The sequence below is a fragment of the Homo sapiens genome, chromosome 2 (assembly GCF_000001405.40).
Source record: "Homo sapiens chromosome 2, GRCh38.p14 Primary Assembly".
In the NCBI taxonomy this organism is placed as follows: domain Eukaryota; kingdom Metazoa; phylum Chordata; class Mammalia; order Primates; family Hominidae; genus Homo; species Homo sapiens.
Window position 1 is genome coordinate 237,864,864 of NC_000002.12, and position 19,137 is coordinate 237,884,000.

Consider the following 19,137-nt stretch of genomic DNA (forward strand, 5'->3'; position numbering starts at 1 on the left):
AAGGACGGTTGTGCAAAGGCCCTGCTTTGGAAGTTCCTGGAAGCCTTTTTGACTGAAGCATGGTGGGGAAGAGGGCTTTGAGCCGAAGCTGGTGCTGGAGGAAAGACCCATTCTCTAAGCATTCAGATCTCATTCCTAGGGCAGTGGGAAAACCTTGAAGGACATTAAAGGGGGTGACAGGACAGAAGGTGTGGTTTAAAGGAGCCCTCAGCTGTGGCCCCCAGCATGGGCAGGAGGCCAGGCAAGGATAGGAGTGGGAGGGTTCCAGGGAGTCCTGGAGGCGAAAGTGATGGACTCCAGTCCCTGGGCCTGGATGCAGGAAGTGAGGCAGCGCTGAGGAATGAAGAACAGCACCTGGCAGAGCTCCTGGGGGAGTAGGGAGGGCAGGGCAGGGGAGAAGAGAGGAGAGGAGGGGAGGGGAGAGCAGGGGAGAGGAGAGGAGGGGAGGGCAGGGGAGAAGAGAGGAGGGGAGGGGAGGGCAGGGGAGTAGAGAGGAGAGTGCAGGGGAGGGGAGATGACACCCCAGGCCACAGCCAGGGCTGCCAGGAAACATGGGAGCCCCAGGCAAACTGGAATTTCAGATAAACAAGAAGCATAAGCCTGTCTCATACAGTATCGGGAACATGCCTCAAAAACCACCGTTTCTCTGAGATGCAGATTTCGCAGGGCCTCCTGTCATTTGCTGCACCTGGCAGCCCCGTCCTCAGCAGCCACATGGGGTTCAGCGTTCCCCTTGGATTCTGAGGGGTGATGGTACGTAGACAGGAGTCTATGCAAATCAAGGGTTCAGAAAGAGGTATGGCCAAGAGAGGTGTTTCTGGCGGCAGCAGGGCCTGGCCTATGTCAAATCCTTGCTTGGAGGGGTGACCGGTGAGAGTGGGTAGAAACAGGCCCAGGCTCCTTGTGAGAGGCCAGAGAGGACGGCCAGGGAGGACAGAGAAGGAAACGGGCCCCAGGCACCACTGGGCACCTTGACATGATTGGTGGTGGAGGGAGGCAGATGGCAGGGTCCTTTGCAGGAGAGGCAGCGGCGAAAGCTGCCCTTAGGAGGCAGCGAGGAGGTGAAACCAGAGAGCATGCCTGTGTAGGTTTCCTCCAGTGCCTTATGGTTCTAAACACACAAACCTTTGATGCATCTGGAATTTACCTTAATTTCCTAGCAATTTTTATCAATGGCTCAATATTTGGGGGATTTTCATGGTAATTGCACTGAATGTATTAACTGGTCAGGGAGGATTACATCAAGACCACCGGCTCGAGAAACAGCAGTCTGTTCCTCCACCCCCACGTCTGCATCCAGGCCCTTCCACAGAGATCTCATTTCTCCTGCAGATGACTCATTCAGTGTCTAGGAATCCGGTGCTCTGTGGCCACTACCGAGAGTGGGATATTTTCCCCCATTTTATTTTCTAGCTGGTCATCGCTGGGCTAAGAGGAAGCTCCTCTTCTGTGTGTTTCTTTTGTGACTGTTGTCACCCTGTGCCTGTTTTTTATTTTAGTTTTTTTGCTTCCTGCTTGGTTCTTCAGGCCAGTCATAAGGTCACCCGTAACCTAGGGTGGTCCTACCACCTCTTAACAATTTTCCCTGTTTTGTTCTCCAGTCGTACTGTGTTGGAGAGTGACTCACTGCTGAGTAGGGGAGTGACAGCAGCTGCCTTCCTTTGCTGCTGGCGATGGCAATACAAGTGACCCTTGAACAACGCAGGGGTGGGGCGCCGAACCCCCACATGGTCAGAAATTCGAGTGTAGCTCTTGACTCCCCCAAAGCTTAACGACAGCCTACTATTGAGCAGAGGCCTTACTGATAACATTATCTGTGAGTTAACCCATATTTTGTATGTTACATGTATGTATACTGTATTCTTTTTTTTTTTTCTTTTTTTGAGACTGAGTCTCCCTCTTTTGCCCAGGCTGTAGTACAGTGGTGCGATCTTGGCTCACCACAACCTCCAACTCCCGGGTTCAAGTGTTTCTCCTGCCTCAGCCTCCCCAGTAGCTCAGATTATAGGTGCCCGCTACCATGCCCGGCAAATTTTTGTATTTTTGGTAGAGACGGGGTTTCACTATCTTGGCCAGGCTGGTCTCAAACTCCCAACCTCAAGTGATCCATGCATCTTGGCTTCCCGAAGTGCTGGGATTACAGGCGTGAGCCACTGTGCCCAGCCTATACTGTATTCTTATAATGAAGTAAGCTAGAGAAAAGAAAGTGTTATTAAGAAAATTAGACCCAGCATGGTATCTCACGCCTGTAATCCTTGCATTTTGGGAGGCCAAGGTGGGAGGATCGCTTGAGTCCAGGGGGTGGAGGTTGCAATGAACCAAGATCACACCACTGCAATCCAGCGTGGGCAATAGAGTGAGATCCCATCTCAAAAAAACCCACAGAAAATATATATACTTTTCATTAAGTGTAAGTGGATCATCCTAAGGTCTTCATGTTGAGGAGGCCAAGAAGGAGGAGCAAGAGGAGGGGTTGGTCTTGCTGTCTCAGTGGCGGCAGCGGCAGAAGAAAAGCTTCATGTAGGTGATCCACACAGTTCAGAGCCATGTGGTCAAGAGTTAACACCTTAAACCTTCTGTCTTTCTCCTTTGGGGCCAGATGCTTTTTTATTGTATTTTTGTGGGGGTGGGGGTGGGAGAGGGATGGAGAATGCATCTTCTTCCCGTGTGTAAAGTAAGCTTTTGTCCTGTGAAGGAAGAACCGTTCGATGTGACACAACAACCTGCCCAGCTGGACATTGTCTCAGTGCTGGCAGGCCGCTGGCACTGGCGAGGCTGTGACACAGGAGAAGTGGTCAGAGGCTGCGAACCTACCGTGTTTCTGGGATGAATGGAGCGTTTCCTCATTCCTGTGCAGCCTTTCGGCAGTCTCAGGTGTCTGTTGGCCACTGTTTGTTCTGAGTGTGGCTTCGTTCTTCCTGAGTGAGCTTGCTCTGTACTTTACCTTGGGAGTTTTATTACCAGCATTGGGTTTTCTTCCCAAGATACAGGTTGTGGACCCTTATTCTTTCCCTGTGTGCTAGGATAGTCAGGATGATGGAAATAAGCAGTTCCTTGAAGATCTAGAGGGTCTTCATTTTCACCTGCAAAACCACCGGGGCCAGGCTCCTTTTCATGGTGTAGAAAATTGGCAACCTTTTCAGTATCTTTCTGGTGTTAATTGGTCCCCTTGGGTTTTCTGTCTTTTTTTTTTTTTTTTGGATGGAGTCTTGCTCTGTCGCCCAGGCTGGAGTGCAGTGGAGCGATGTCAGCTCACTGCAACCTCCACCTCCCAAGTTCAAGTGATTCTCCTGCCTCAGTCTCTCAGGTAGCTGGGATTACTGGTGCCTGCCACCATGTCCAGCTAATTTTTGTATTTTTAGTAGAGATAGGGTTTCACCATGTTGGCCAGGCTGCTCTCGAACTCCTGGCCTTCGGTGATCCACCCACCTCAGCCTCTCAAAGTGCTGGGATTACAGGCATGAGCCACTGTGCCTGGCTGGGGTTTTCTGTGTCTTGTAGCAGTGATGTTGTTTTACATTTTCCTCTGAAGTTGTTCATTTTATCCACATATCATTATGTGAACAATTATTTTTCTAATTCCCTCTACATCTGTGAACATCTGTCCTTTTTAGTGCAATTTTGTGAATTTGTATTTTCATGTTATTTCTTGATCAGAATGGACAGTGGTTAATCTGTGATTGGTCTCTTCCCCACTGATTCCCTCCCCCCACCAAAAAAAAAAAACAAAAAAAAAAAAACAGTTCCTGAGTTTACTTACTCTACACTTTTTCTTGAATGCCTAACGCATTTCTTTTTGTTCTTTGCTGGCGTGGGAATGAAACGTCATCGGTTCTCTGCTTGGCAGCTTGGCTGGATCCCCTGAGTTTGCCTCTGCCTTGTGCTCATGGTTGATATTTTCTGGATTCTCTGTATTTGTGGTTTCTGTTTCCTCTTTAGCACGTGAATTGTTTGGAAGCAAGTTTTTACAAATCTCAGGGGCTCCGGCTTTTTGGTTTCTCTCCCGATACTCATTGCTAGTTTTATTGCACTGTGGTCGGGGGCAGAGCGGGAACCACAACCATGACTTAGTGTGCATTGCGGGTTCTTTCTTGGTCTTACAAATTTTTCGTGTTGTAAATGGCCCGTAAGCCCGTGGGAGGAGTGTGGCGTTTTTATGTATCCATCCCGGTCATCATATTAAATTTAATACTTAGGGCCTCCGTATCCCTATTTTCATCTTCTCCATCCATGCGCATTGTGTGAAAACCCTGCACTGCGTTTGTGATCCTGCCTGCTTTCCCTGGGCACGTGTTGCTGCGTGTTCACGCAGGGGAGAGGATGGGGAATTCCATATGTGACCCTGCCAGTCACAGCTGCATGGTGACTTCTTATAGCTCTGTCCCAGTCATTGCTTTTTTAATTTTAATTGCGGTAAAGTATACACCACATAAAATGTACCATCTTACCTATTTTTAAGTGTACAGTTCTATGCCACTAAGCACACTCACGCTGCTGTACAACCATCGCCACTATCCATCCCTAGAAGTTTTTTCATTTTGCAAAACTGAAACTCTGTCCCAGTTAAACACTAACCCCCTGCTGATTTACCACCTCCCCCAGCCCCTGGGACCCACGATTCTACTTTCTGTCTCTGACTACTCTAGGAACCTGTATTAGTGGAATCATACAGCATTTGTGACTGGCTCATTTCACTTAAGGTTCTTCCATGTCGTAGTGTGAATCAGAATTTCCTTCCTTTTGAAGGCCAAATAATATTCCACTGTTATGGATAGACCACACTGTGTTTATCCATTCATCCATGGACACGTGGGTTGCTTCCACTTCTGGCTGTTGTGAATCAGGCTGCTGTGAACATGGGTGTTCAGATATCTCTGTGAGACCCTGCTTCCAGTTCCTTTGGGCATATACCCAGGGCATATACCCCGGATCATTAGGTGGTTCTGTGTTTAATGTTTTGAGGAGCCGCCACAGCGTTTCCGCAGTGGCTGTGGCATCGTGCGTTCCCACCAGCAGTGCACAAGGCTCTGGTTCTCAGGGGCCGTGTGAGGCCACCTCTGCCATGCTGCAGGCTCCCCAGCACGCAGTGGGGAACCCAACCTTGGAGAGCCGAGCCGGGGAAGAAAAAGCGTCTCCACAGCCTTGGCAACACTTGTGATTTTGTTTTCGATGGTAGCCGTTCTAACGGGATTGAGGAGCCATTCGTTACTTCACAGGTGGACAGCAGCAGCTTTGTCGGGGACAACATTGTGGTTTCTCGTTGTCTAGTCTTTTGTCTGTGTCATGTCCCGCCACCCACCTTTTGGATGTTCCCCGGAGTCACTTAGCTCTTTGACCTGGTTTAACATCTGGTTTTCTTGTGGATTTTAATGTTGTTTACCAAATCCCAGGGCCTGCCCCGAGGGCCTGGTGACCCTGGGCAGGCCATTTCCCGTCCTGTGCAACTCTGATCTGCAGGATGGGGTGGTGTGGGAGCACCCATGTCCCTGCCTGAGGACTCTCCAGGCCTCCGTGGGGGCGGTAGCAGGGCCTGGCCCATGCGGCGCGCTGGTGCTGCTCACCCGCCTTTCTGGCTTTAAGAAGTATGCTTGGAGCTCATCTAACATCTTATTTTCCATTTTCTGTTTCTTAATACTTACAGAGGCTTCCGACTTTTTCTCCAGGTCTGTATTTTCCTTGTTCTTCTCTGGTAATTTGGAAGGTAGACAGTCAGTTTTTAGTTCAACCTGTGTTTTATTTTATGACTTAAAAAAATGAGGATTTCTTGGCTTGTCAACTTCAGAAATGAAGAGTGCCGGTTGACAATGTGTAGAGTTTTACTGAATGGCAGTCGGGGGCAGGACCAAGGCTGGGGAGGAGGATGGAGGGTACTGTGTGCAGTCAGGGGTCTCCCACCAGGTTCCTAAGGTTGGAGGTGAGGCTGGAGGCTGCCACAGTTATCCAAGTGAGGACTCGGAAGGGCCTGGGCATTTCCAGTAAGAGTGAGCAACACGGATGCAAGAGAGGGACAAAGAACTGTGCACAGCAACCCCATCCAGCACAAAGCAGGCACTTCGTGGGGGTAGAGGCTCTGAGCCCGAGAGAGGGGACAGTGGGCTGGAATGCAGTGCTTTGCTGTCTTTGAGGACCAAAATCAGATGACAGGTGGAGGAGAATCTACTTGGTGGAGGCTTTGGCGGGGTAAGCGGCTGTGTGGGTGGGAGAGGAACAACCCGGCCCTGGCCCACGGCCCCGAGGACCTTTCCTCTTCTCGCAACCGCCCCTGCACTGGCTGCTCAGAGGTGTCAGTGGATGGCGGGAGTTTCTCAGCCTGGACTTGAGAAGTTGGAATGAGAGGGTCTTGCCAGAGAAAGGAGAGCACCTTGGGGCTTCAGCCAGCTGACCCCTAGAGAGACAGGACTTTAGACAGAGCAGGGGCAGGGAGAGGAGGAGCTCAGACAGCTGAGTGCTTTCACTCTAGAGGATGTCAAGTTTGACCTGGAGGGAAGCAATGGGGAGATATCCCAGCCACACAGGAAACGCCAGGCCATGGTTGACACCTCACGCAGGCACTCGCATGCCTGAAACGGACCAGGCCATGCAGGGAGCAGATGCTCACCGGGGACAGAGGCCTCGCAACCCACCAGGGACAGATCGTGGCAACTGAAGGGGCCCTGTTCAGGAGAGCTAGATGTCAGGGAGGCAGCAGCAGGCGTTCCTATGGGCTGGGGAGCTCTGGGTTCCTCCACCGCCCCCCGACCCCAACTCCCTTGGGCCCTGGGCACTTCTACCCTCTGGGACAGTCGTCCCCAACTCTCTTGGTCCTGCCCCCGCCAGTAAAATAATCTGGACACGCTCCTCCAGGATTTGCTTATAAATTAGACCCCTGTGCCACTGCGCTATGTGTTCTAAAATGTATGCAAAAATAGGCTTCTTTAAGCCCAGGAAGTCAAGGCTGCAGCGAGCCAAGAGAGCGCCAGTGCACTCCAACCTAGGCAGCAGAGTGAGACCCTGTCTCCAAAAAAGGAAGAAAGAAAACCACTAGATACGGTGATGGTTGTACACCTTAGTGAATTTACTAACAATCATTGAATTGTCTATGTAAAATGGGTGAATTTGTGGTATATAAATTATACTTCAATAAAGGCGTGTTTTAGAAGAGAAAAAATATAGGCTTCTTTGAAAGGAGGGATGCTGAGAATAGTTTACTACAGTCACGACCATCTTTCCACCCTCCTGCGATGGTATCGTCCATGCCTTAAGGATGTTAGGGGTTCTTAGCGGGGGCTTCAGGATTGAGTATGGATCGAGCCTGCGCTTAGATGGACGATGCCAGCCCCTCAGCCAAGGAGGGCCTGGCACGGGGAGGAGAGGCGGCTCGGCAGCCTATTCTCGGCCTGCCCTGGTGCTGCCGGGGGCACCTCGTGCTCTATCCAGTCCATGCCCCTTTGCCAAAGTCGTCCACTCAGTGACGGTGATGATGGCCACACATCCACTCTCCCAGGGCCCCTGTGCTCTTGGGCATTAGTGTGGGGTGGCCAGGTGACTGCCCAGGTCGTGGGACTCACGCGTGCCCAGTGAGAGCCCCCGAAGCCTCTCCTGGGAAGCCTGAGGGAGGCAGACACCCTGAGGAAGCCCATCTGCAGCCGGGGCTCCTGGCCAAGGGTCTCAGAGCCTCCACAGACATGGGTCACCCACAGCCTTTGGGGCAGGTGTTGGGGTCTCCACAAGAGGTCTCTGACCTCACCATGCCTCCTACGTGTTCTGAGATGAGCGTGCCAGGGATTGCATCCAGGCTGTACCACTCCTGGGCTGTGTGACTCTAGGCAGGCTACTTAACCTGTCTGAGCCCCTCTGTCCCTGCCATGATGGTTATTTGCAAGGATTAAATAGGCTAATGGTGGCCAGGCACTGTGGCTCACGCCTGTAATCCCAGCACTGTGGGACGCTGAGGTGGGACGATGCCCAGGAGTTCAAGACCAGCCTGGACAACGTGGGGAAACCCCATCTCTACAAAAAATAGAAAAATTAGCTGGGTGTGGTGGCATGTGCCTCTGGTCCCAGCTACTTGGGAGGCTGAGGTGGAAGGATTGCCTAAGCCTAAGGAGGTCAAGACTCTGCAGTAAGCCATGATTGTGCTGCTGCACTCCAGCCTGGGCAACAGACCAAGACCCCGTCTCAAAATCAAATAAAATAAACAGGCTAATGGGTGTAAGGGGCTTAAGCCTGGACTTGGCCTGTGAGCTGCAGCTACTAGCATCCTGGACTGGCTGGTGGGAGGGGAGCAGGGAGGCTTCAGGAATTTGCATGAACTTGACCTAGAACCTGACCTGCACTCTCTGTTTAGCCACCACTCCAGCTGGGAGGAGGACAGTGATGGGGTCTGAGATTCTCTCTCTACAAACCTAAAATACACAGCTACAGAACTGGCCTTTCCTGCCCCATGTGGCACAGACCAAACATGGGCATCAAGTGCATTTGCTGAGTTTGAGACCCATTAGCTCTGTGCCTCTTGTCTCCTTAGAAAGCCCAAACACCTGATGAGCAGTGTCCAGGGGTCCCCTGTGGGGGGCCCGGCTGCCCCGTCCTTCTGTCCCCACCCTGTCACTTTGCTTGAGGGGCCCTCCACCTTTGGGGTGCCTGCTATGCATGCTCATTTCAGGGGCGCTGTCCTGCTGTGGAGAAGGAAGCCGTTGCTCTGAACCCCCTCAAGCAACACTGAGTTCCTAACTTACGCACAGCTCGAGGGAAGTTTCCTGTCTTAACACGCCGAGGGCTGAGTGAGGAGCGCAGCCGTCTACCCAGCAACCTCTGCACGTGGCTTTTGAAAGACATGAGTTATGAATGATTACATTTGCAGTCACACAGAGGAATGGAACCCATTTGGCCCTGAATGGCTTGTTTTAAAACTTTGGCAATTTTATCCTATTTTAAAACTTTGATGTTACCTCTCTCTGCAAGGAAAGAAACCACATCAGGCTCGTTTAAGAAAAACCCAAGCATTCTTCGCCTGTACCTAAAAAATGAAACTGGTTTCCAGATTTGCCTGAACAGCTGCCCCTGGCCTCATCCCAGCTGTGGGACTCTGGGCTCCCATAGGGCGGGAAAGAAAGGGCAGCACTGGTCAGGGAGGGCTCTGTCCCTAAGGAGCAAGGGACAATGGGCTGGGTATGGCAGTCCCGCCCCTTGGGAGGCAGAATGGCTCTAAGAGAGGTGGGGGATGCAGCATCCAGGAGGGACCAGCCCAGAGCCAGGCCAGGGTCAAGGCCACCGGACCAGCCCTGCAGCCAGACCCGGACAGGGGATTGCATGGGTGGTGGAAGCTAGAACTGGCTGGGCTGCAGGAGAGGAAGGCCCAGTAGGCTGGGGGCAGGCCGCTGCTCTGGACAGCCCAGGGGACAGCAGGAGATTGACCTGAATTTGACAGGGAGGGCCACCCTGTGGCCTGGGGTGAAAGGACCGCTGTCATTGTTTCTGGCCCCTGCACCTGCATTCGCTTCACTTGTTGGAGACCCCACCAGAAGGAGCAGCTCGGCCTCCGCACGGGGACTGGCTCTGCAGGGCGGTTGTGCAGACCCCGCTTCCCAGACCCTCCTGGGGACTTGGGAGCCACCAGGGTCCCTTTACCAGATCCTCCACTGCTCACACCAGCCCCAGTTGGTTTCTGTTGCGTGCAGCCAAGGATCCCGACTGAGGCACAGACATGCCTGTTCATCTTCATTTGTCCTAGAAGCGGCTCTTCCAAAGCAGGAGGGGAGTCTGCAGTGGTTCATGACCCTGACACCCAATCTTTCCACTCCAGGCAGGATAGCCTGAGGCACGCTTGCTTCACTCCCAGGCAGAATGGCCACTGAGAAATCCGGGTATGGCCATCTTATTTGCTGGCTCATTTGACAAATATGAATGTGCAAAGCTGCTGGGTGCCAGCGTGAGTCAGAAAGGAGTAGGAGATGAGAGGGCAGCCAAGAGGGTTCTGAGAAAAGAAAGAGACCCTCCACCAGCCCTGAGTGAGGCTCTGAGGAAATGGGCTGGGGGACAGGGTAAGGGGGCAGGCTTCCCATAGGTAGGATCAGCCGGGGGCCTCTTGGAGGACAGGGCAGCGGAGGAGGGCAGGTGGGACTGGGACCCAGGATTCACCAGAGAAAGGCAGTGGGGGGCGGGATGCCAGGAGCAGTGAGGGATAAACAGAGGGACGATTCTCCAATTGCAGCTGGACAGGCAGCCTGGAATTCCTTCCCTGAGTTGACAAGTCAGTGTCTGAGCCCTCCTGAGCCCCTGGGAGCTCCTGGGGCATCACTGTCCACAGTAGGTGGGCTTTCCTAGGGGGCATCTTGATGGGGCAGGTGTCAGAAATAGCCCCTTCCCCAAGGCTGCCCTGACTGGGGGTGAAAGAAGCCCCCAGGGTGGGGGGTGCATCCACAGCGGGCCCAGCCAGCCCCAAGGTGCACTCACAGTGCTGGTATGGACATGGTGGGGACACACCTGTGCTGTCGGGAAGCAGCATGGACTCAGGTGGGTACAGAGCCTCCTGAGGTGTCCCCGGGGTGCCCGGAGGAGGCTGTTCTGCCCTCAGCCTTCCCAGAGGCAGATGCAGCTCCCTCTGTGGCCACAAACTCCAATGCTGGGCACTCATGCCAGGGGTCGAGGGTGGGTGACCCACTGGAGTGAGGTGGGGGGACTCTGTCTCGCTTGCTAGCAGGTCCTGTCCTGAGCTCCTCCGTGGGGCTTTTTCCAACTCCCAGCCTTCCATGCAGGCCCGACTGCACCCACATCACTCCCTGGCTTCTTGGGCTAAACATCCCTGATTCAACACACCTGGCTCTTTGGGACCCACTCATGGCCTCAGCCCCGTGCAGGGCTCAGCCTCTCTGGTCAGCACTCAGCTCTCTCTAGCAGCTGTGGGCTGGGCCAGTGCCCAGGTGTGCAGTGTGTGGGATCCGTTCACCCTGACACACCAGCCATTGGGCCTGGAGTGGTGCTCTGCAACAGCACCCCCACCCCACCCCTGCATGGCCACCTGCTCGCCCTCCCCCAGGTGCACCTCCAGGGACATCAGGCCATTCCCTGTACTTCCTGCCTCCCATCTGGTGCCCAGCCCCACAGCCCCAGAAGCGGCCAAGTGCTCTCTGGTCCATACCACTTCCGGCCATGGGACCTGGGGCCGAGTTCTGAACCCTGAAGCCTCAGTTCCCCCATCCGTAAATTGCTGATCGCAGTCAGATCCACTTTGAGGCGGCTGTGTGTGAAGAGCTCCAGGGTGCCCGGCGCATCGGGGCAGCTCCAGTTCCTCTGCGTTTTACTCAGCAGTCCGAGGGGCCCCTCGAGCTCACACCCACCCCAGGCCACGTGCCGGAGACTGGTACTCCAGAACCCCTCGCCCAATCTGCCTGCCCAAGGGCAGCCACCTCTCCTTGGGTGGGCTCCCTGGGCCCGAGGCTGCAAGGGGCAACTTGATGTCCTCACTCATGAGGCCCAGGGGGCCAGGCGGTGGGCTGCAGGGGCTGGGTGCCCCCAGCGTCTCCCAGGGCAGCTCTGGCCTCCCAGTGCCAAGCTCCTTCCAGGAATTTGAAAGGGCCAGGCCGGTAGGGGTGGGGCTGGGGGTCCCCCCTGGGCAGAGGATGTGGCCTGGGGGGAAAAGGAGGGGGACCTGGGGACAGTGGGAGGGCCAGGAGCCAAGCCCTAAACAGGGAATGCAAAGCTTCTGCCCCCAGCTGCCCTACGAGGTGGCCAAGAAAGAGAGGCTCAGCCTGAGGAGGAAGAAGAAGCCTGGTGGGTGGGGGACCAAGGGCCATGCTCTCCCCGCCACCCCCGCCCCCACCCAGCCAGCAGTGAGCTACGGGGGAAATTAGTCAATCCTGATTCTGTGCGGGGCATCGCTGGGCAGGTCACTGTTGCTCTGGTGTATGGCTCGAGGCAGGAGGAGGGAGCACAGTTCATGCTTCCGTTTGTCAGCTCGGTTCATAGCCCGCAGATAGTCAGACAGGAGATGTGCCTGCAGCTCCTGGGCTGGGGGGCACAGCCCAGCCCAGCCCATCCCCAGGTACCCGTGGAACAGGGGCAGCCAGAGACTGTCTCCGGGCCCCTCTCATGCTGCCCATGCCTGGGGCAGCCCGATGGCATAATTGTGGGATGGAATGTGCCCTGGCCCAAGCTGGCACGGGCACTGAGGGCCAAGCCACCCTTAGCAGGCAGGGAGGGCCTTTGCCAGGTCACAGAACAATTGATGAAGAGCGTCCACTTGGAGCCACAGTCGCCCTCTCCAGGGGTTGCTTAGAGGCCCCGTTCTCGTGGAGTCCGGGCTGCAGGGGCGCGCGGGCTGGCGGTGATACCCCTAGGCCTCTGCTGCCGCCCGCCATCTCTTCATGGCCGTGTCTATTTCAGCCCATCACCTCTTCATGACCACTGCCTGCCAGGAGGCTAACTACGGTGCCCTCCTCCGGGAGCTCTGCCTCACCCAGTTCCAGGTAGACATGGAGGCCGTCGGGGAGACGCTGTGGTGTGACTGGGGCAGGACCATCAGGTGAGTCCCATGGCCCCTGGTGGGCAGGACACGGTTGGGGAGGGAGAGGGGGCAAGCGGAGGAGGAGTGGACCACGTGGGAGCTGTGGAAGATCCTTTCTAGACCCCGGAAGGGTTCTTCCCCCAGTGGGGGGGGCCGGGATGAAGACAGAGGAGGGAGCCAGTAGCAGGTGGACGTGAAGAGTGACGGTGGGAGGAGGCCACGTCCTCAATAATCTGGTCTGGGGATGGAGGGTTCAGACTGGGCCATGTCCAGCCAGAGATGCCCGCGGCCTCTCCAAGGGCAGGCGCCTGGGGAATGACTGAGAGTAGGGTCTCATGCCCAGGGTGGCCGGGTCTCTGACTGGAGCCTGGCTTCAGGGACGTCCCTGCTGATTCCCTCTGTCCCTGTGGTCAGGCCAAAGCTGTCCTTCCTGGCCCCACCCTGTCCAGGGCTCAGAGCTTCTGGTAATGGAGCAGGCTGTCACCACCCACAGCCCCCAGCAGGACGGCTTCAGCCGAACCCTTCCCCACCTGGCCCGATCCTCCTGCCCAAGGGCCCTTCTTCCCGCTTGAGGGGCTCCCTCATTGCCTCCCTCAGCCTCCTGGGTGCTGGGCCCCCATCAGCAGGCCGGGGGGTTCTCCCCAGCAGGCCCAGGCTCCTCTGCCTCCAGAGCGGCGATCAGAACTCGGCATGTCCGCAATCGACTTTCAAGTCCTTGTTTCTGCCTCCGTGGGAGGCGCTGGGGTGTCCTGGGGCTGCAGTGGGTGAGTAGCGGGGTCAGCAGTGCATGCGTGGAGCTGAAGGCCACCGCCTCCCTGCCATGCAAACTTCGCACAGAGATCTGTCTGTGGGTTCACAGCGCAGCGCAAGTCCTGGTGCCCCACCGATGACAAGCGCTTTCCCCAGTGCCTGAGAGAAAGGGAGCCCTGGGGACTGGTGGGGAGGGCCAGGGGCAGGGAGGAGGGCCTCGGGAGGGTCTTCACGGAGGAAAGGTTGCACCAAGGTCACACACGAAGAGTACCTGTGGCTGTGGTGTCCCCTGAGGGTCCAGACACACCCGGGCACAATTCTGTGGGGTTGAAGACCCCTAGTTGGACTCGTCACCCCTCCCCTGTGGGTTGCAGGCTGGCGTGAGCACAGGGAGAAAGCCCACGGCTGGGAGGCCCTGAGGCTGGGTGGCTCCCACTGCCCCTCTGAGCCTGGGTTTGGGCCTCCCTCTACCCTCAGAGCCCCGCTGGCCACAGCCTGCCCTCTTCAGTCCTACTGAGATTGGCAGATGAGTGGCCTCTGTTTTCTCCTCCCACCGGCCATGTGCTCTCTGCCCACTTCGTCCACCCCAGGGAACTCCCTCAGGCCCAGAGTCCGTGCTCAGTGCACTGTTGTTGAGGCGACTCTGTACCTTGGGAGCCCAAACTTTTTAAAAAGTAGGAAAGCATGGGGTATATGCAGGTGTGCATGCTGGGATTTAAAACAACAGAAACTCCGTACCCTCTGCTCCAGTTCAGGTGGGAGAGTTGGTGCTCCCGAAGGTGGGAGGGCCAAAGTCACGGCTCCAGCCTCAAAGGCCCCTGATAAGACACAGTGAACCAGGGAGCCCACCCCAACCCTCTGGGGTCTCCAGGGGCCCTGTGCCCTCAGCAGGGTCTCCTCACTCTACTGTACTGAAGGTCTCTCCAAGATTTCAGGGCCTCCTTTTCTAAGCTGAAAAATGAGTTGAGTGGGAAGAGGTTGTTAAAAATCAGAACAGCCTGTTCTTTAGGCTAATTGGCCTTCTGCCACAGCTGAGTCATTTGTATTTAAATTAAGATTGCATTTTATTATGATCCAGGGAAGACACAATGGGGGGCCCCTGGAGAAAAGCACTCTCCCCCGCCTGCTTTGTGGAAGTGATGGTTAATTTGTGTAGATTGATTGTGAACGGGAGGCCTGGCAGAAGACAGCAGGGTAATGCACACAGTGTTCTACAAGCAGCCATGGTGGAGTGTCCTTAGAAATGGAAGCCACCACAGATGGCTTCCTGCAGTGCCAGAGCACAAAGAGGAATAACTAGCGCTGAGGCCAGAGAGAGTTCGCCATCCTCGGAGCCGAGTGGCCATAGCTGGAACTAGAAGGAGGGGGAGTTGCTGGGAATTTTCGTTTTTTTATTATTATTATTATTATGATACTTTAAGTTCTAGGGCACATGTGCACAACGTGCAGGTTTGTTACGTATGTATACATGTGCCATATTGGTGTGCTGCACCCATTAACTCGTCATTTAATGGGTTCAGCACACCAATATGGCACATGTATACATACGTAACAAACCTGCACGTTGTGCACATGTGCCCTAGAACTTAAAGTATTAAAAAAAAAAAAAATCTGACCGGGCACTGTGGCTCACACCTGTGATCCCAACGCTTTGGGAGGTCAAGGCGGGTGGATCAACTGAGGTCAGGAGTTCCAGACCAGCCTAGCCAACATGGTGAAACCCCATCTCTACTAAAAATATAAAAATTAGCCGGGCGTGGTAGCACACGCCTGTAATCCCAGCTACTCGGGAGGCTGAGGCAGGAGAATTGCTTGAACCCAGGAGGCGGAGGTTGCCGTGAGCCGAGATGGCGCCACTGCACTCCAGCCTGAGGGACAGAGTGAGACTTTGTCTCAAAAAAAAAAAAAAAAAAAAAATCAAGATAATTTAGGAACCAAGAAGGAAAAGTCCACATCACAACAGCATCTCAGCACGTCAGCCCAGGCCTGCCAGCCCCTGGGGTCTGCGTTTGGCAGAATGATGCCCCCCAGAGATGTCCATGCGTAATTCCTGGAACTGTCGATGTGTCACACGGCAAAGGGGATAAAGTCACAGACAGAATTGGTGACACTAATCAGGTGGCTTTGAGATGGGAGATGCGGGATCATCCCGGGGCCCGGTGCTATCACAAGGTCCCTTAGGTTGGTCCCAGCTTTGGCTACTGGAGAGCCTTCACACTGGCTTCTGTGTCCTTTCGACATTGCCCCTGGCTGTTTTTGAGCACTTTCTTTCTTTCTGGTACCACGAGATGTTCCAGGCTTATCTTAGACATTTTGTGCCCCAGCCCTGAAGTCAGCCATTTCTCCAAGGAACACTGGTTCCTTTTGTTAGAGAATGGTATCTAGAAACCAAGATATATGTGCGTATGTGTGGGTGTACACACATCCCAGGGATTTAGATGGAACCCACGGAACCATACAGGTGCTAGAAGAAAACATGGGTGAATCCCTATTTAAGCCATGGTATCGAGAAAGGCTGGGTAAAACAATATTGTTTCAAAAAATTGGCTTGCCCAATCCCAGGGCCCAGCAGGCCAGCAGGCTGGAAACTCTTGGGAGCCGACGCAGCATTCTTGAGGCAGAATTTCCGAACGTGCTGGTAAGGCCTTACCATTGGCTGGGTGAGGCCCCACCCCCAGCATCAAGGATTATCCCCTTTACTTAAAGACAACTGATGATAGATGTTAACCACATCTCCCAAATACCCCCACAGTGACCCCTAGACTAGTGTTTGACTGAGTAACTGGGCACTGTAGCCTGGCCAAGTTGGCTCATAAAGCTATAATCATCACACTGGTTCCAGGGGCAGAGGTCTCTGCGCAAAGGTGTGTTCAGACAACTGGCATTGTCCCTCCTCCTCCTGCCCCTGCCCATTTCTCTCATTCCTTTCACCCTGTTCCCACCCAATTCCTGTGGGCAACTTACCTCATCAGTTTCTGGTCTTTCTTTCCTGTATATCTTTTGCATAAATGAGCAGATGCCTGCATTTTCTTACATCCCCTTCTTTCTTATATAAAGGGTTGTATACTAGTGACACTCCTTTGTACTTTGGTTTTTCTTCACTTAACAACATAACCTGGAACTCTCTCCTTGTCAGTGCAGAGGGAGCCTCCTCCTTCATTTTTACAGCTGTATAGTACTCCGCCGTGCAGAGTCTTTCAGCCATTTTCCTTTCAGCCAGGGCAGAAGCCAAGCGAGCAGAGGCACTTAGGTTGTGGCCAGTATTTTCCCATTTCAGCATCGACGTGGATGGCCTCACGCATCCGTGTTTTCCCAGCACTGGAGCTGACTCTTCAGAATAGATACCCAGAAGTGGGGTCGCAGGACCAAAGGTGAGAGCAGGAGGAATGTGTTAGGTTTTGCAACGTCCCTCCAGAAGGCTGATGCCAGTTTGCATTCCCACCAGCAGCGTATGGGGTGCCCGTTTCCCCAGACCCACCAACAGACTGTGTTGTCGTCCATTAGAGTTGTTACTGTCTGATAAGTGAGAAGTGATGTCTCAGCAGCATGTGAGTTTGCATTTCTGTACTTAGGAGTGAATCCGAACATCTTTCGTATGTTTACAGGCCGTTCTTTTATCTTTTTGGCAAATTGTGTCTTTTCCTATTTTCTATCAGGTCGTTTTTAAAGAGTTCTTTGTATGTTAGATGGGTTAGGCCTTTGTCTCTCGTGTACATTAGAGATTTTCTCCTAGTTTGTTGGTTGTCTTTCAACTTTGTTTTTTTTTTCTTTTGGTGTTTTTGTTGCCACACAATTTTTTTAATGTGGTCAAAACCATCCATCTTTGATCGCCTCTGGATTGGAGTCCTAGTGGAAAGCCCCTCCCCACATGAAGGGAAAAGAGGGATTTGCCACGTTTTCCTCTAGCCTGTGTGGTCCCACTGGTTCCATCGAAATCCTTGGCCCATCGGAGTTTATTCCAGTTTATTCTTGTGTATGGTGTGAACTATGAATCAAATGTTATCTTTTTCTGGATGCGCTACCCACTTGTCCCATTTATGCAAACGTCCATCTCTGCTCCCCGTGACCTGAGATGCCACCTTTGTCATGCACTAAGCTTCCCTGTGCACTTGGCCCGTGCCTTCTTAAATCGTCCCTTTCCCAAACCTTCCTCATCTCACCTGAATCTCATATTGATCTATTCTCCAGAACTATCAATGGGTCCTCACCGCCTGCTGAATGTTTACCTAATTATCCCTTAACTTAGTCCAAGAAACGCGTTTACTGTAGCTGGCGTTTATTACCGCGTGCTGGGCTTTGTGTCGAGCACGTAACGTACATTGGCTTTTTGAGGTCAGCAGCAGCCTGGCGGAGGTGGGGCTGTTGTGATTGCTGCTTCACCTGCCCAGGCTCGCACAGCTGGTACCCATGGCTCCCTCCTGGTTCCCGGCGGAGGTGGAGGGATGCCCTGCCTCCATATAACTGTGGCCTCCTGAGATGGGGATGCAAGCCTTCAGGTGCTGCCTCCGTCCTGGCGATGTCCCTACCAACCTGGTGAGGTCCATCGCATTGAGACACCAAGCCTGGCAGTGGGCCAAGGGCAGCCTTCCAAGGGTCTCCAGTAGCAGCGAGGGCCTGGGGTTCTAGGGTGGGCAAGTTTGTCCAAGTAACTAGTGGAGGGGAAGAGGGCCCTGGAGAGAACACGAAGGCACAAATAGGGTGAGAGGCGCTAGGCTGCCTGCAGGCAGGCCATCACCAGGTGTGGGCAGGTGGCACTGTGTCTGTTGGATGAGCGGGACCCCAAAGTGAGGCTGACCGGCAGGCAGCCAGACAGCCAGGTGGCTGGCCTCAGGGAATGCTCCCAGCCCAAGCAGGGTCCCAGCTGGTCTCAAGGACTGTGAGCCAGGCAGGTGACCTGATGGGGGACACAGGCTCTGGGAAAGGCCCGTCTCTGAGCCAAGTGCAGTTGAGGCTTGGCAGCTGGGGCAGAAGCCAAGCAAGCAGAACCAGGCAATTATTGGGGTCTGGTATCCAAAACCAGGCTGGCATGGAGGCCAGGGGATTCTGAAGGCAGGAGCCTCTGGGCCAGAGCTGCCACATGCCTGCTGCCGCCCAAGGTCATAGCTGTCCCAGGGCCCTGGGCTGGGCCTGCAGGTATCTTGGTATATGGCAGAGGGAAGCTTCCAGACTCTTCTGAAATCAGAGGTCTCATTTAACAACAGCTGCGTGTCAAAGGGGACTCACCTTCCTATGAGCGACGTAGACAAAGGCGGCCGGCCAGCCTTTTATGGGATACACACACAGGAGTAAGTGGGGGCTGAGACATGCTCGTGCCAGCTCCTAGTGCCGGCCCAGAAGTCTTGCTTCCTCTATCAAAGCAGATGGGAAGGAGGCCCCCCGTGATCCCTGCTTTACTCAGGACGTTGAATAGAAGTAAAAAGTGAATGGAAGACTCCTCATGGCCTGGTGCAGTGGCTTTCGCCTGTAATCCCAACACTTTGGGAGGCCAAGGCAGAAGAATTACTTAAGCCCAGGAGTGTGAGAACAGCCTGGACAACAAAGTGAGACTCCATCTCTACAAAAATTTTAAAAATTAGCTGTACATGGTGTTGGACACCTGTAGACCCAGGTGCTTGGGAGGCTGAGGCGGGAGGATCACTCAAGCCTGAGAGGTCAAGGCTGCAGTGAGCCATGATGGTACCACTTGCACTCCAGCCTGGGTGATAGAACCAGACCCTACCTCAAAAAAAAAAAAAAGAAAAGAAAAGAAAAAAAAAAAAGAGGCTCCTCCTCTGCACAGGGGTCATTCCTGGGTCCCTGCCCTGGCCTGTAGGTCCACTTTTTTTTTTTTTTTTTTTTTTTTGCGCATTCAGGGTTTGTAGCCACTGCGCTTGCCCTGGGACCTTGGCTGCCCGGCATGGATCTGC

The 19,137-nt window shown here is 54.0% G+C and overlaps 1 protein-coding gene and 1 non-coding gene across 6 annotated transcripts in view, besides 1 other annotated feature; both read left to right on the top strand.

The window, feature by feature from the left end:
• The window catches only part of RAMP1 (receptor activity modifying protein 1), a 53,227-nt gene that overhangs the window by 5,984 nt on the left and 28,106 nt on the right, over positions 1-19,137 (top strand). For 4 of the 5 annotated variants that reach the window (XM_017003153.3, NM_005855.4, XM_017003152.3 and 1 more), the window contains exon 2: positions 12,361-12,499. In XM_017003153.3, the coding sequence (XP_016858642.1) occupies positions 12,375-12,499 (125 nt within the window). In that variant the 5' untranslated portion in view covers positions 12,361-12,374. Of the gene's footprint in view, positions 1-9,781; positions 9,843-12,360; positions 12,500-19,137 lie in introns of all 5 variants that reach the window. The other variant, NM_001308353.2, reaches the window with a different exon arrangement.
• Positions 5,041-5,119, top strand: LOC124900521 (small nucleolar RNA SNORD55/SNORD39). Its single transcript, XR_007088712.1, has one exon. It is a non-coding gene; the product is annotated as a small nucleolar RNA SNORD55/SNORD39 (small nucleolar RNA).
• Positions 17,770-18,271: an enhancer, noted in NCBI's record as "H3K4me1 hESC enhancer chr2:238791275-238791776 (GRCh37/hg19 assembly coordinates)". NCBI's record gives its function as "activates a minimal SCP1, AML or CMV promoter by ChIP-STARR-seq in naive H9 embryonic stem cells {active_cell/tissue: H9 hESC(naive)}" and the evidence as "EXISTENCE:reporter gene assay evidence [ECO:0000049][PMID:30033119]".